Raw genomic sequence first — 13,741 nt, forward strand, 5'->3', positions numbered from 1 at the left:
AAATCTCAACACGAGTATGGTTCTGAGAGTAGCTCTGTAACTCTGAGGATGGTCTCTGGAGACCATGACTGTGTACAGTTCACATGGTAACCAGAAGACTATGACATACTTCAGAAGGTGGTGAGGTCATAGAACACAAGCTTTAAAGTAAGTGAATCATGTGTGCCTCATTTATTTTTAAAAGCAACTTCTGAGAAGGGCTTAGAACAAATTTTTTCCCGGAGTGCCATTTCCCAAAGGTACTCACAGAACAATCAGGTGTGACCATAATGGCTGCACTGAGTTGTCTCTTGGACAGTGTCAGAAGGGACATAAAGAAGGTGGACAGAGAACTAAGGCAACTGAGATGCATCGACGAATTTAGCACACGGTGCCTGTGCGACTTGTATATGCACCCCTATTGCTGCTGTGACTTGCACCCATATCCGTACTGCTTGTGCTATTCCAAGCGATCACGCTCTTGCGGCCTGTGTGATCTCTACCCATGTTGCCTGTGTGATTATAAGCTTTACTGTCTGCGACCATCTCTCAGAAGTTTGGAGAGGAAAGCCATCAGAGCCATAGAAGATGAGAAGCGAGAGCTTGCCAAGTAAAATAACTTATTTTTAAATTTTTATAGTCGGTATATTAGCCTTATAAGTTGGAATAAGGAAAAATATGTGACAATCAATAGTTGAACAAAGATTAAAAGGGTTCAGGATAATGACCCTGGTGACTTAGGAAAGATTTAAGGAAAGAAGAGTAAATGAGTCCATGATGGGAATTGTAGGGTTCTCAAAAGACAATGTAATGATGTCGATTGGCAAGGTCGTCGGTGGTTTATAGCAAGAATGCCAGTATGATAAATAATGCGGCTTTAATGAAGGGAAGAAACAGGGGGTGTCATTAAAAAGCCATTGGAAGCAGCAAACTAAACATTTTTCCTGGTTATGAGTAAAGTGATTTGAGTATATTTGGACTTACAGAAATGACTACAGGAGAAGTAATAATAATAGATCAAATCCTTAATGTGTGCCAGAGGCTTTACAAGCAGGAGAGCAAATTGAACAGTAGAGGCATTGCCTTGGTTTTGTGGGAATATCATTCTCCTATCCCCCCACTCCAGGCAAAGACTTACCTTGTATCTGGAATTAGGTCTATCATGTTGGCCTCCCCTCTAACTCTAGCAAAGGTCTTGCAAATAAACTATGGCACTGAGTTGTAGCTTTCAGGATAGACTTGAAAGGCTTTTTAATTGAATTGGGTAATTAAAAAGAGTCAGTTTTTTAAAAAAATTTTTGTTTTAGATTATATTTTCTTTTTGCCTGGAGAAAACTTTCCTTTTCTAACTTTTTACATATGCCATTTAGTCTGTTACTGTTGATGAAAAAGATGGTTGAAAGTGCTGTCCCTGGTTAAATAAATAATACATTCATGCACTGGAATAATAAGTAAATATAGAAAGGATTGATGAAGCATCTTACATATTGATGTATTAAGTCAAACAAGCAAAGTGCAGAAAAACTGATAGACAGATGACAGATAGATAGATAGATAGATAGATAGATAGATAGATAGATGATAGATAGATAGAGTCTCTTGACAACAGTGACAGTGATGTTTCTTTGGAAAAAGCAATAGGAGGCCGGGTGCATTGGCTCATGCCAGTAATCCCAGCACTTTGGGAGGCGGAGGCGGGCAGATCACCTGAGCTCAAGAGTTCGAGACCAGCCTGGCTAACATGGTGAAACCCCATCTCTACTAAATACAAAAAAAAAAAAAAAAAAAAATTAGCCAAGCGTAGTGGCACGTGCCTGTAATCCCAGCTACTCGTGAGACTGAGGCAGGAGAATCACTTGAACCCAGGAGGCAGAGGTTGCAGTGAGCCAAGATTGCACCACTACACTCCAGACCGGGTGACAAAGTGAGACTGTCTCAAAAAAAAAAAAAAAAAAAGGATAATTATTGTCTAGGTCACCAGCCACCAATGGTCAGGAATGAACCTCCCTCATAGCCTGGGAGCTTTCACCTGTAAATTCATCTATACTCTTTGAACCAATGTTTGTTTTTATTTCTTAGGGCATCAAGTCACATAAATTGCTCACACTGTGAGGCAGGGACTCTTTTTAAAATATTTGGTCCAAGTTAAGGTTTCCTTGTGAGCAGATCAGTATCCACTCTCCTCCTACTTTTGGATACTTGAATACCCTTGTCCAGGTCTTTCCAGCCTCTGTCTTCCTGGCTTCTCTCCTATCCCCAGACTCTACCAATTAAAATCCCTCTCTGTCCTGTGCTGTCTACTCTCTTGATGCCTCTTTCAGAAGCCTTGTTTCTTGGCATGCAGTAGAAACAGCTTCAAGCTTAATTCTCGGCAGTGTAGTTTAGGCAAGAGGTAATGTTTTCTCTGGTTTGTGATGCTCTTCCTGACAGCGTCTGGGTCTTTGCCTATTTTTTCTCTGCCTGCAGGCAATATGTGAAGCTGGTGATGTCTTTACATTAATTTCTGGATCTCGGAAATGATAACTCCAAGTCCATTGTAGAAATGACCTCAGGCTTGTCCGCTTTATCTCTTCCAATTCACACCACCTTGTGAAATTTCTATGCTCTATTTCTGACAACTTGACATTTCACTCTCCAGAAGGGCTTAGTGTCACTTGCAAACCTAAATATTCAATTTTCCTGAATATGGGTGAAAATGTTAAACCCTGATTCTAGCCTCAGTCCCAGAAGGCCCCCAGTGTAGTATTTTTTCTTCTAGTGCAGTGCCTTTTATTCTTATCTCTAAGCTAGCGCCTGATCCATAACTAAATAGATGCAGAAATATCATGTTGATTCAATTTTTTAAAACAATCTTTGGTGTGAAAGCTTGCCCAAGGCTTTTTGAGTTTAGAATTCATATTCACATGACCTTCCTCCCCTTTAAAGAATGCAAGGGGGTTGGTTAGTTATGACATATCCTTTCAGATGGCAGGCTGTGTTGTCCAGAAGGTTCTTTGCCCAATATGAAGTAAAGACTCTATAGTCTATAGTTGCCTTGGCCCCCTTGAAACTGTTTTTCTGTGTCACAGTCAATCTGCTGTGTCTCTGGGTCCTCCTTTAATAACTGGTAAAAAGCCTCAACCAACAATTTCTTAATTGATCCCACAGGTTTCTTGAGCACTCCTGACTATATGTTATTTGATTGATGCATGTGTGTGGTGTTTTCTTAGACTGGGCATAGAAAATCCAATCCAAGCTGGGTGCAGTGGTTCACACCTGTAATCTCAGCACTTTGGGAGGCTGTAATAGGAGAATTGCTCAAGTCCGGGAGTTTGGGACCAGCCTGAGCAACACAGGGAGTCCCCATCTCTATAAAAATTAAAATAAAAAAATTAACCAAGTGTGGTGGCACATGCTTGTGGTCCCAGGTACTCAGGAGGCTGAGGTGGGAGGACTGCTTGAGCCTGGGAGGTCAGGACTGCGGTAAGCCATGATTATGCCACTACACTCCAGCCTGGACAATAGAAAGAGACCCTGTTTCAAAAAATAAATAAATAAATAAAAGAAAATCCAATCCATTTCCATTCTTTATTGGGCAGCTGCTTCAGAAGACACCATGTTGGCAGTGTCTTCCTTAGTAGAGACCCAAGTAAGCACCTTTGTTTCTGTAGCTTCTTTGATATCCTCTTTTCCTCCCCAAGAGGCAGGCAGTGTCCCTGTCTCTTCCTCCCTCTTCTGGATTTAGAGGGGCTGAGGGGACTGCATTGGTTTCCTTTGTCGGAAGCCATGCCACCAGCCTGATTTAAGTTGTAACTGATTCACCACCACATTTCATGGGCTTCCCTGCCCTCTGTCTTAGAGCCGGAGAAACAAAACCCAGGCCCTCCTCAATCTTGCCCTAGGAGTTTATGATCTAATTCATGGGTGCCCCATGTGGCCAGGACACCAAGCAGTCCTCGTGAGCAAATGAACCTTGATTTACAGCTGTACTCTTTACCGGTACCTAGAAACGAATCCTGAGACCGTGTTTCTGTCCACGTACCCAAGTGTCTGTTGTTGGCACGAATCTCAGTGAAAAATTCCCTTGAAATCCCCACACCAGGGGCACTCTCAAAACTTCAAAAATCTGCCTTCTCATTTCTTGGTTCCCCCTTCATGCTCTGAGGATGAGGTTTTCACTGAATCCACTCTTGCTTGGTGAGGCTGATGACAGTCAGGCCTCATGGTGAGCTCTTTGTGGATTTAGAGGTGCCTTGCCCAGGTCTAAGCCCTCAGAGAAAACATTCTAGTCTCTCTCATTCTCTGACCCAGAGGTCGGAGTATAAGTGAGCCCTATGGGGCTTTCTGGCTGGTGAAAGGCTGGCTCTTCCACTCCCACTGAGGGGAGCTCTCCCTTGTTAACCTCTGTGTCCTCTGCAGAAGTGGAAGTGAGTTGGGCCCTTGGCTGCCTCTCATCATAGACTCTTCACATCCATAGTTCTCAGAGCTCAGTCACCCCTTGGCTGTGGGGGTAAGAGTCTCTCCCCATCTAGGCCAAATGCATTGGTATGATTTGGTTTGACCTTGCTGTTTATTGATATAAGACTTAAAGCTTCAGATTAGGGCAAGTCCATGTAAGGTGGGGCCTGGTGCAGCTTGATTAAGAAGACATACACTTTATTGAGTGAAACTGTTACTAGCACTTCATGTTCATTTAAGCCTTGTAACATGGGTGACATGTTGGGTGATATTATCTTGGTCATCTTACAGACAATGAAACAGAGTCAGGGGCCATGTTCTTGATCACTAGGTGGTGGCAGAGCCAAGACTTGAAGCTGTGTGTGCCCGAGTCTGGAATCCGTGAGCTTAATCTCTGGTCAGTGGTTCTCGTAGTGTGGCCCCTGAAGCTGATTAGTAGCATTACCTGCAGCATGTTAGAACTGCAGATTCTCAGCTCCACCCTAGACCTGCTAGCTCTGAAACCTCTGAAACTCTAGGGGTGGGATCAAGCCACCTGTGTTTTTTGTTGTTGTTGTTGTTTTGTTTTGTTTTGTTTTGTTTTGTTTTGTTGAGATGGAGTATTGCTCTGGCGCCCAGGCTGGAGTACAGTGGTGTGATCTCGGCTCACTGCAACTTCTGCCTCCTGGGTTCAAGCGATTCTCCTGCCTCGGCCTCCTGAGTAACTGGGACTAGAGGTGCGGACAACCACGCCTGGCTAATCAGCCACCTGTGTTTTAACAAACCCTGCAGGAGAGTCAGATGCACCTGTGCCATGCTGCCTGGCTCCCTGCTGAGTGACATTGTCCTCAGTATCAACCCAAAAGCCTGGAGAAGAGAGAAAAGGCTGGAAAATAAGAGAAAAGGAGAAGAAAGGAGAAGAGAAGGAAAAAGATGTGTTGGAAAGAGAGGGATTGAGTTTAAATGGGTCTTTGGGATGGGGCTAAATTCAGGAGAAAAAGCAAAGTACTCCAATGAAGCCTAGAGGAAGGCCTGCCCCACCTGGTTCCCTGATAGAGGTAGACATTTTTCACATCTTCATTACTTTATTCATGACCGGGTTAAATCTGATTTTTATCTTTGAGAAGATGGCTGGGTATGCAGCTGATCATTGCTGTGGGCAGCATGTTTCATATTCGGGAGTTTGGTTGTACATCCGGGTGAAATTTAGCATTAGCAGGGAGGAGAGGAGGCCGCACAGAGCAGCAGACACAGGCACTGGCTGTCTGCTAGCTTTCCCCAGCTTTCCTAAGAGGCTTCTGCAAAGGAGCTGATTTCCCTATGTTTATTGAGACTAAGCTTCGCCCCCATGATAACAAGTATAGGAGGCAAACTCCCTTTGCGCAGAACCCCATAGAGCCATGGAAAATTCCAGGTGGGGTGATGGGGACATCACCAGGCAGGAGTCAAATTGCAAGTTCAGAGTTGAGTCTGATGAGTAAAATGTGGCTTCTGCAGTTTCCCCTAAACCAACACATCTTCCCTGATAACCACTGACTTAGAAGCAAGAAGAAAAAGAAGTATGATCTGGCCAAGACTTTTTGGGCAACTTCCTGAAGACATTTGTGAGATCCTTGTGTGCTGTCGCAGAGCCACAGGAGCCAAAGTGACCAGAATAGAGAAAAAAGAGGAACCCAAGCAACAAAATACATGAAATTGTGCCCTGGGACCCAGGTTACTTAGAGATGAATCTGGGCGCTGACTTGGGCTTATAGACCTGGCTCCCAGATCCAGCTTCTGTGGAGGTCAAGAGGGCTTTGCCAAAACCAGCTGTGGCCATAGCCAGGGCCACTAGCAAGGACTCCTAGTTGGGGCCCTTGGCCCTCCTTTAGGAGGCCTGGCTGCATCATCCTGGTGGGATTTGATGTTTCTCATCTCATATGAGAAGATCTGAGCTGAACAGGAGAAGTTTGATTCTCAGACCATGCACACACCGTGGGAGAGTCTTGAAAGGCCCAGAGAGTGCCCATCTTGCTCTGTGCTTCCCCTTGGCCTTGGCTGCTCTGGCTTTAAGCCTGTAATCTATCCAGAGAGGGTACCATGCCTGGAGTTTGGGCTGGTTCCCTGAATCTTTGTGAGCTATTTTCTGCCCATCCAGCAAGATAGAGTGCTTGTTCTCCTGCTTACCTCACAAAGATAAAGATTTCAAACAGTTCAAAATTCTCCTACTTCTTGTTAGTGTGGCATAGGGTACCCTGGCACACCCAGGGCAAGAAAGACAATCATGCCCCATGCCACCCCCAGGTTTCATGGGGCCAGAGGTAGAAATGGGGCTGAGGCCGGGCGCGGTGGCTCACGCCTGTAATCCCAGCACTTTGGGAGGCTGAAGTGGGCGGATCACAAGGTCAGGAGATCGAGACCATCCTGGCTAACACGGTGAAACACCTTCTCTACTAAAAATACAAAAAATAATTAGCCGAGCATGGTGGCGGGCACCTGTACTCCCAGCTACTCAGGAGGCTGAGGCAGGAGAATGGCATGAACCTGGGAGGCGGAGCTTGCAGTGAGCAGAGATCGCCTCACTGCACTCCAGCCTGGGCAACAGAGCGAGACCCCGTCTCAAAAAAAAGAAAAAAGAAAAAAAAGAAATGGGACTGAATACAGTCCTCTGGGTGTATTACACAAGTTGTTTCTGTTTGCCTCAGTGTCTTCTGGGACTGAGTTCTGTTTGATCATTTTATAATTAGCCACTAAGAGTCTTGATCTGTAACTTTCAGTACAAGGGTAGTGAGCACTCAAACTGTTATCTAATCATGTTAGGGCTTAAGTGGAAAATACAGATAAAAATCAGTACGTATAGCATGATTTCATAAGAACACATACAAAACTCTCTCTCTACATGTATATAGAACTACACACACACACACACACACAGACACATACTCACACACACACTCACATAAAGTCAAACACCAAAATGCTAAGGGTTATATGAGATTATAGGTATTTTTAAAATAGTCCATATGTTTACTTATCTGTATTTTGAGTCTTCTACAATGAACTTGTATAACTTATGTAACAAAAAGAAGTAACTGCATAAACAAAATTCAACATACAAAAGTGATATAGTGATAATTACATCTGCATCACAGTTATTATTGTAAAGATTAAATGAAATATGCCTTTAACATGCTTAGCACCTTCCACAGCACATTGCAAAAAAAAAAAAAAGAAAAGACAAAACCTTAACATCCTATGTGCCAAGTATTATTGTAAATATTTTCTTGCATTAACTGATTTAAGCCTCACAACAACCCTATGATGTAGGCTATTTTTATTGTCCCAGTTTTACAGATGAGGAAACTGAGGCACCGAGAAGTAAGTTATCCACATGTTAGAGCCAAGCTTTAAACCTCGATACTCCAGTTCCAGAGTCTGTTCTTAGGCACTTTGCTTTACTACCTCTTGACGGATCATAACTGATCAATTAGTGTGAGCTGCTGTTGTTATTTTTATTAAGGATTTACACAATAGAATTAGTGAATAGCAACAAGGTAGGAACCACAGTAGCTCTGCAGTGAGGACAGAGGAGAGCCCTAATATGTAGCATTTTCCAATTTCCATGGTGTAAATATCCTCATCATGACTATGATTGATTTCAAGCTATCAGCGTGCAGTACTAACTGGGGATCGGGAAGAGATGTACACGATCAGCTCTTGCTAGCTGATGTGATCCTGATTATGGACACCACTGAGAGGTTGTTCTGTATCTGATCAACACGGCCCCACCCAGCTGACTGCCTTTCTGCTAGTGCTAGCTGTCCAGAGGCTAGAGTGACTTCCCAGCCTGGAGGAGCCAGGCGCTGGGCAAAAGACTTTCACACAACACCAGCCTGGGCAGAGCCAGGCCAGGGCTCTCCTGCCATCATTGTTTGATTGAGCTTTCAGGCTGTCTCTGTGCAATTGCAAGAGGTAGCACCTGTCCCATGAACCAGTAGGGCTGGGTTCGAAAGCTGACAGCCATCTCTAAAATGCAGATTTTAAGTGGTATCTTAGTTATATCCCATTTTTTAATCTATATAAATATAAAATATAATTTTTATATAATTTAATTATAGTTATATACACAATTTAATTACAGTAATAATAATGAGAGTGGTAATAATTAAGCAGGATTTATAATGTACGAAGCACAGTGCTAAGTAAAATATCATAATCTCATCTAATCCTCCAATAGCCCTATATGATGCAGGCATTATTATTGTTATCATTATTATTATCTCCATTTTGCAGATGAGGAAACTGAGGTACAGAAGGGTTAAGGAACCTACACAAGGATCAATAATAAGAGGAGGAGCTGGTATTTCAATACGAGAGAAGATTTGGAAGGGCAGGCAGCACGCATTCATTGTTAACAGCTGTGTACTTGCGGGGCAGTGTGATTCGCATGGGTGGACTCACACTTTTTACTTCATGCATTTGTGTAAAGTTTATTTTCACAATGGCTAGTATTAACTTTGGCTATTTCAAAAGCTAGAAATCAAAATATTGCTTCTCAAGCTGTGTCTGGATTCTGAGGTCTGAGCTCCCTCCCACCCTATCCCTTTTCTCAATTCCAGACTGAGAAGAACAACAAATAGAATTCTGGCTTCCTCCTGCTGTAGCAGTAACATTTTAGGATCGGTGAATGTATGCGGTTTTGAACCCGATCAAGTCAAAGTTCGAGTGAAGGATGGAAAGGTATGTGTGTCGGCTGAGCGGGAGAACAGGTACGACTGCCTTGGATCGAAAAAGTACAGCTACATGAACATCTGCAAAGAGTTCAGCTTGCCGCCCTGTGTGGATGAGAAGGATGTAACATACTCCTATGGGCTCGGCAGCTGTGTCAAGATCGAGTCTCCTTGCTACCCTTGCACTTCTCCTTGCAGCCCCTGCAGCCCCTGCAGCCCCTGCAACCCCTGCAGCCCCTGCAACCCGTGCAGCCCATATGATCCTTGCAACCCGTGTTATCCCTGTGGAAGCCGATTTTCCTGTAGGAAGATGATTTTGTAAAGTGCGCATAGGAACCCATTACTTAATAGAAGTCAGTTACTCCAGCCAGGCAGCTCTCCCAATGTTTCTCCTCTCCTTCCCATGGCCCCTGTTGTTGAAGTACGTAGGAAACTGAATACATAACTGCAATCTGCTGGTGTTGTGTGAAAGTCTTTTGGTTAAACCCACTGCAGGAGCCCTGCAGAGTTAGTGAACATTGGAATAATTAGTGGATGGCAATAGAAGGACGATATGGTGAGATCCACCCTCCCATTCCCTCCTCCATACTCAACTACCTCCAAACTCCAGGAGAAGACACTCTTCTGGTGGGCATCCCCAGACATTGTTTTCCAGATGATCCAGTGAAATGGCCTAGCCCAGAAACCAAATGGTCAAAGCAGAAACAGATTAGTTAGAGTTGAAGGAAACACTTTTTCAAAGCTACTGCAGTAGGGAGTCTGGAAAAGAGACTCCTCGAGCACAGTGGGATTGTGGTTTTACTGGACAATGATCAGGATACAAAAACTACGGGGTGGTAGGTGGGACGAGGGGCATGTTTGCTGGCCAAGGCGGGGTGGCCATACAGCTTGTCATTTTTCAACATTCTTGTGGTTTGGGGGATTGGCCAGCTCTGGTTAGTATATGGATGCCAAACAAAACATTAAAAAAAAAAAAAGCATAAACATACCAGCTTTGGTTTGCAACTGGCTTGAGATTTATTACAACTATCTCTTTTTCTGTTTTTTTCTTTTTCTTTTTTTTCTTTCTTTTTTTTTTCTTTTTTCTTTTTTTTTTTAAGACAGAGTCTTGCTCTGTCCTCCAGACTGGAGTGCAGTAGTGCAATCTCAGCTCACTACAACTTCTGCTTCCCGGGTTCAAGCGATTCTTCTGCCTCAGCCTCCTGAGTAGCTGGGATTTCAGGCGGGCAGCACCATGCGTGGCTAATTTTTGTGTATTTTTAGTAAAGACAGGGTTTCTCCCTGTTGGCCAGGCTGGTCTCGAACTCCTGACCTCAGGGGATCCACCGCTTCAGCCTCCCAAAGTGCTGGGATTACAGGCATGGGCCACCGTGCCCGGCCTCTTTTCTTTTTTTTTAGACAGGGTCTTGCTCTGTCACGAAGGCTGGAGTGCAGTGGTGCAATCATGGCTTACTGCAGCCTTGATCTCCTGGGCTCCAATGATCCTCCCACCTCAGCCTCCTGTGTAGTTGAGACTACAGGTGCATGTTACCAAGGCAGGCTAAGTTTTGTATTTTTGGTGGAGACAAGATTTTGCCGTGTTGCCCAAGCAGGTCTTAAACTCCTAAGCTCAAGAAATCCGTTCGCTTCGGCCTCGCAAAATGCTGGGATTACAGGTGTGAGTCATTGAACCTGGCCTGTCTCCTTTCCTTAATTTCTGAAACTGCTTTTAGACACAGAAGTTCAATTCAAAGTTCAGGAGTGGAAAAGTACAGCTTTCACAAAATGATAGCGTAAGTCACCTGAACTTGGATCTGCCTGGAGGACACAGCCCATGAGCCATTCTTTATTACCAGGATTGAAATAAGTGTAAAGAAAGTACGAGATGATGGGGAACAATCAGAATGAGGATACTGGCTGGTTTCAAACCTGACTCTCAGAGGGAACATAAAACCCTCCAGTTTGCACAGTAAGTCTCTTCATGAGTTTCAGCTGCATGTGGGTGAAGGCAGTAGTTCTCAGCATTGGCTGCACATGGGGATCACTGGGGGCGCTTTAAAAATATGGATGCCAAACAAAACATAAAAAAACAAAGCTAAACTAAAACTAAAAACTAGAAAAGGCAAAAATTAAAACAAAATACAGATGTCTATGTCCTTTCTCCAGATAATCTAATGTAATAGACTTGAGATGCAACCTGGGCATTGTGACTTTTAAAAGCTTCCCAAGTGATTTAAGAATGCAGCTAAGGTTGAGAAGCTCTGGATGGGATATTAAAGCTATCCCAGCCTTTTATTTTAAAAGCTTCCTTTAGGCCAGGCACGGTGGCTCTCCTCTGTAATCCCAGCACTTTGGGAGGCTGAGGTGAGAAGATCGCTTGAGCCCAGGAGCTCGAGACCAGTCTGGGCAACATAGCAAGACCTCATTTCTACTAAAAATTTATTATTTTTTTTTAATTTTTTGAGACGGAGTCTTGCTCTGTTGCTCAACCTGGAGTGCAGTGGCGCAGTCTCGGCTCACTGCAACCTCCGTTTCCCAGGTTCAAGCGATTCTCCTGCCTCAGACTCCTAAGTAGCTGGGATTACAGGCATGCGCCACCACGCCCAGCTAATTTTTAGTATTTTTAGAACAGATGGGGTTTCACCATGTTGACCAGGCTGGTCTCGAACTCCTGACCTCATGATCCACCCGCCTTGGCCTCCCAAAGTGCTGGGATTACAGGCGTAAGCCACTGCGCCTGGCCTCTACTAAAAATTAAAAAAAAAAATAGTTAGGTGTGATGGCGCATGCTTGTGGTCCTAGCTACTTGAGAGGCTGAGGCAGGAGGATCACCTGAAGCCTAGGATATCGAGGATGCAGTGAGCTATGATCATGCTACTGCACTCCCGCTTGGGCAACAGAGCAAGACCTTGTCTCAAAACAAACAAACAAAAATTCACAGACAAAAAGCTTCCTTCAAGTTCAAGGCTGAAGAATATTGATGGTGGTAACAGATATATTTTGCTTCCAATTAAGGGAAGTAATGGCCCTCTAAAAGAAGTGGTGAATAAAACATATTGAACATTTCAAAAATTTACCTGTATAAGTATCTTGCCATGTTTTGAATATATGTTTATAAATATTCTATTTTCTAAGATACAAATTTTTGGAAAATGATTTTGAAGAAATTTCACCCTAGAGAGTCAATGGGATGTCACTGGGGTCTTTGGCAGCCACCAGTACTTCTTCAATGTGGAAAATAAACACTAAAAAACATATTTTTACAAACCTGAAGCATTTATCGATAATTTTATTGTGTCTTATATAAATCCACTGAGGTCCTAACACGTTGGATAAGCAGGAACTTCTGTCCTCTGGTGGGCGCCATTCCAGGACACTCTTAGGAACAGTTCATTCTTTGATTCACTCACACACTGACCCACCCTCCTTTCTGTTGGTCCTGCAGCTCATCCATTCATCCATCAACCTGCCAGCTAGACTTTATCATTTTGAATGCCAGATACCGTGCTCTGCAACAGGGATGGAGAGAGAAAGCATCCTTTTCACAAATGCCTCACACTAGACTCAAGGAGGGATGCTATAAAGGGGCTCAGGGTAGAGGGGGGAGACAGCCAAAGAAACTGAATGTACAAGAGCTAGAGAGGACAAATGGGCCTTCCAGACTGGCCCTGGGCATTCCCAAGATTTATTGTCAACATCCCTGTCTCAAAGGAAGCTTCAGGTAAGCCTGAGTCTGGCCTGCAGGGAATTGGCGGCCTTGGTCTGCTCACCACCCCTATAGGGAAAGACTTGCTAGAAAGACAAGGATGTATCTACTGAGTCCACTGCTCTGAGTAATTCACAGTGCCAGGAGCTTCTATATTTTAAGGCAAGACTAAGCTCCGTGATGTACTTGTCAGCGCACTTGACAGTGTGGGATCAAGAAGTAAATCAAACAGTGTGGGAGTGAAGTGCCCTCCAATCTCAGAGAAAGTGCGGGGAGGTGAAGCAGGCCTGGGTGGGAGGCAGAGCCTGGCTGTGGGCCCTGTCTGAGGCCTGCAGGAAAGGCACAGAGCAGGGCTTAGTCCATGAACTAACTGGGTTCCTGAGGATGGGGAGGAAGTTGATACAAAGGAGAGGAAAGAAGAAACATTTGCTGTTTTCAAAATTGCCCTTGGCTGGTCAGATGAACCCCAGAGCTTGGACAGCTCTGCTGTGGCCTTTAATGCAATTTTGTAGGTCAGGGTCCAGCCGTAAACACCTGACCCCATCTACCTGGGTGGGAGATGGGAATGGGGGTGACTCTTGAAGGTGCAGAAGTGAGAAATCGGCCCACATGGGAACTGAAAGACGAGAGGCTCTGAGCTGCTCCACTGCCCCGCACATGTTATGAATGAACATGTAAATTAGGCAAATGTGCCACCTTCTAATAAACATGCTTGGTAATACTGTAGAACTAAGAGCAATGAAGATAATTACACTTCTTTATTATTATTATTATTTTTGAGACAGGGTCTTGCTCCATCGCCCAGGCTGAAGTGCAGTGGCACAATCTTGGCTCACTGCAGCCTCAAATTCCAGGCTCAAGCAATCCTCCCACCTCAGCCTCCTGAGTAGCTGGGACTACAGGAACATACTACCATGCCTGGCAAATTTTATGTATTTTTTTTGTAGAGATG

General features: G+C 44.2%; 1 protein-coding gene across 1 annotated transcript, besides 4 other annotated features; it reads left to right on the forward strand.

Moving 5' to 3' along the window:
- ODF1 (outer dense fiber of sperm tails 1) lies at positions 131-9,560 on the forward strand. The gene is made up of 2 exons (NM_024410.4): positions 131-589; positions 8,994-9,560. Exons 1-2 carry the CDS (start codon positions 270-272, stop codon positions 9,424-9,426), a joined length of 753 nt encoding a protein of 250 aa, NP_077721.2. The 5' UTR covers positions 131-269; the 3' UTR covers positions 9,427-9,560.
- Positions 3,863-4,202: an enhancer, noted in NCBI's record as "active region_27763". NCBI's record gives its function as "activates an Ori minimal core promoter by ATAC-STARR-seq in GM12878 lymphoblastoid cells {active_cell/tissue: GM12878}" and the evidence as "EXISTENCE:reporter gene assay evidence [ECO:0000049][PMID:35858748]".
- Positions 5,433-5,522: an enhancer, noted in NCBI's record as "active region_27764". NCBI's record gives its function as "activates an Ori minimal core promoter by ATAC-STARR-seq in GM12878 lymphoblastoid cells {active_cell/tissue: GM12878}" and the evidence as "EXISTENCE:reporter gene assay evidence [ECO:0000049][PMID:35858748]".
- Positions 5,943-6,022: an enhancer, noted in NCBI's record as "active region_27765". NCBI's record gives its function as "activates an Ori minimal core promoter by ATAC-STARR-seq in GM12878 lymphoblastoid cells {active_cell/tissue: GM12878}" and the evidence as "EXISTENCE:reporter gene assay evidence [ECO:0000049][PMID:35858748]".
- Positions 13,093-13,212: an enhancer, noted in NCBI's record as "active region_27766". NCBI's record gives its function as "activates an Ori minimal core promoter by ATAC-STARR-seq in GM12878 lymphoblastoid cells {active_cell/tissue: GM12878}" and the evidence as "EXISTENCE:reporter gene assay evidence [ECO:0000049][PMID:35858748]".

Source organism: Homo sapiens, chromosome 8, assembly GCF_000001405.40.
Source record: "Homo sapiens chromosome 8, GRCh38.p14 Primary Assembly".
Lineage (NCBI taxonomy): Eukaryota > Metazoa > Chordata > Mammalia > Primates > Hominidae > Homo > Homo sapiens.

Excerpts from the sequence above, each read along its gene's own strand:
- ODF1 (NM_024410.4), top strand. The coding sequence starts at position 270 with ATGGCTGCACTGAGTTGTCTCTTGGACAGTGTCAGAAGGGACATAAAG. Across the intron at positions 590-8,993 it reads GAGAAGCGAGAGCTTGCCAA|ACTGAGAAGAACAACAAATA; the intron begins GTAAAATAACTT and ends TCTCAATTCCAG.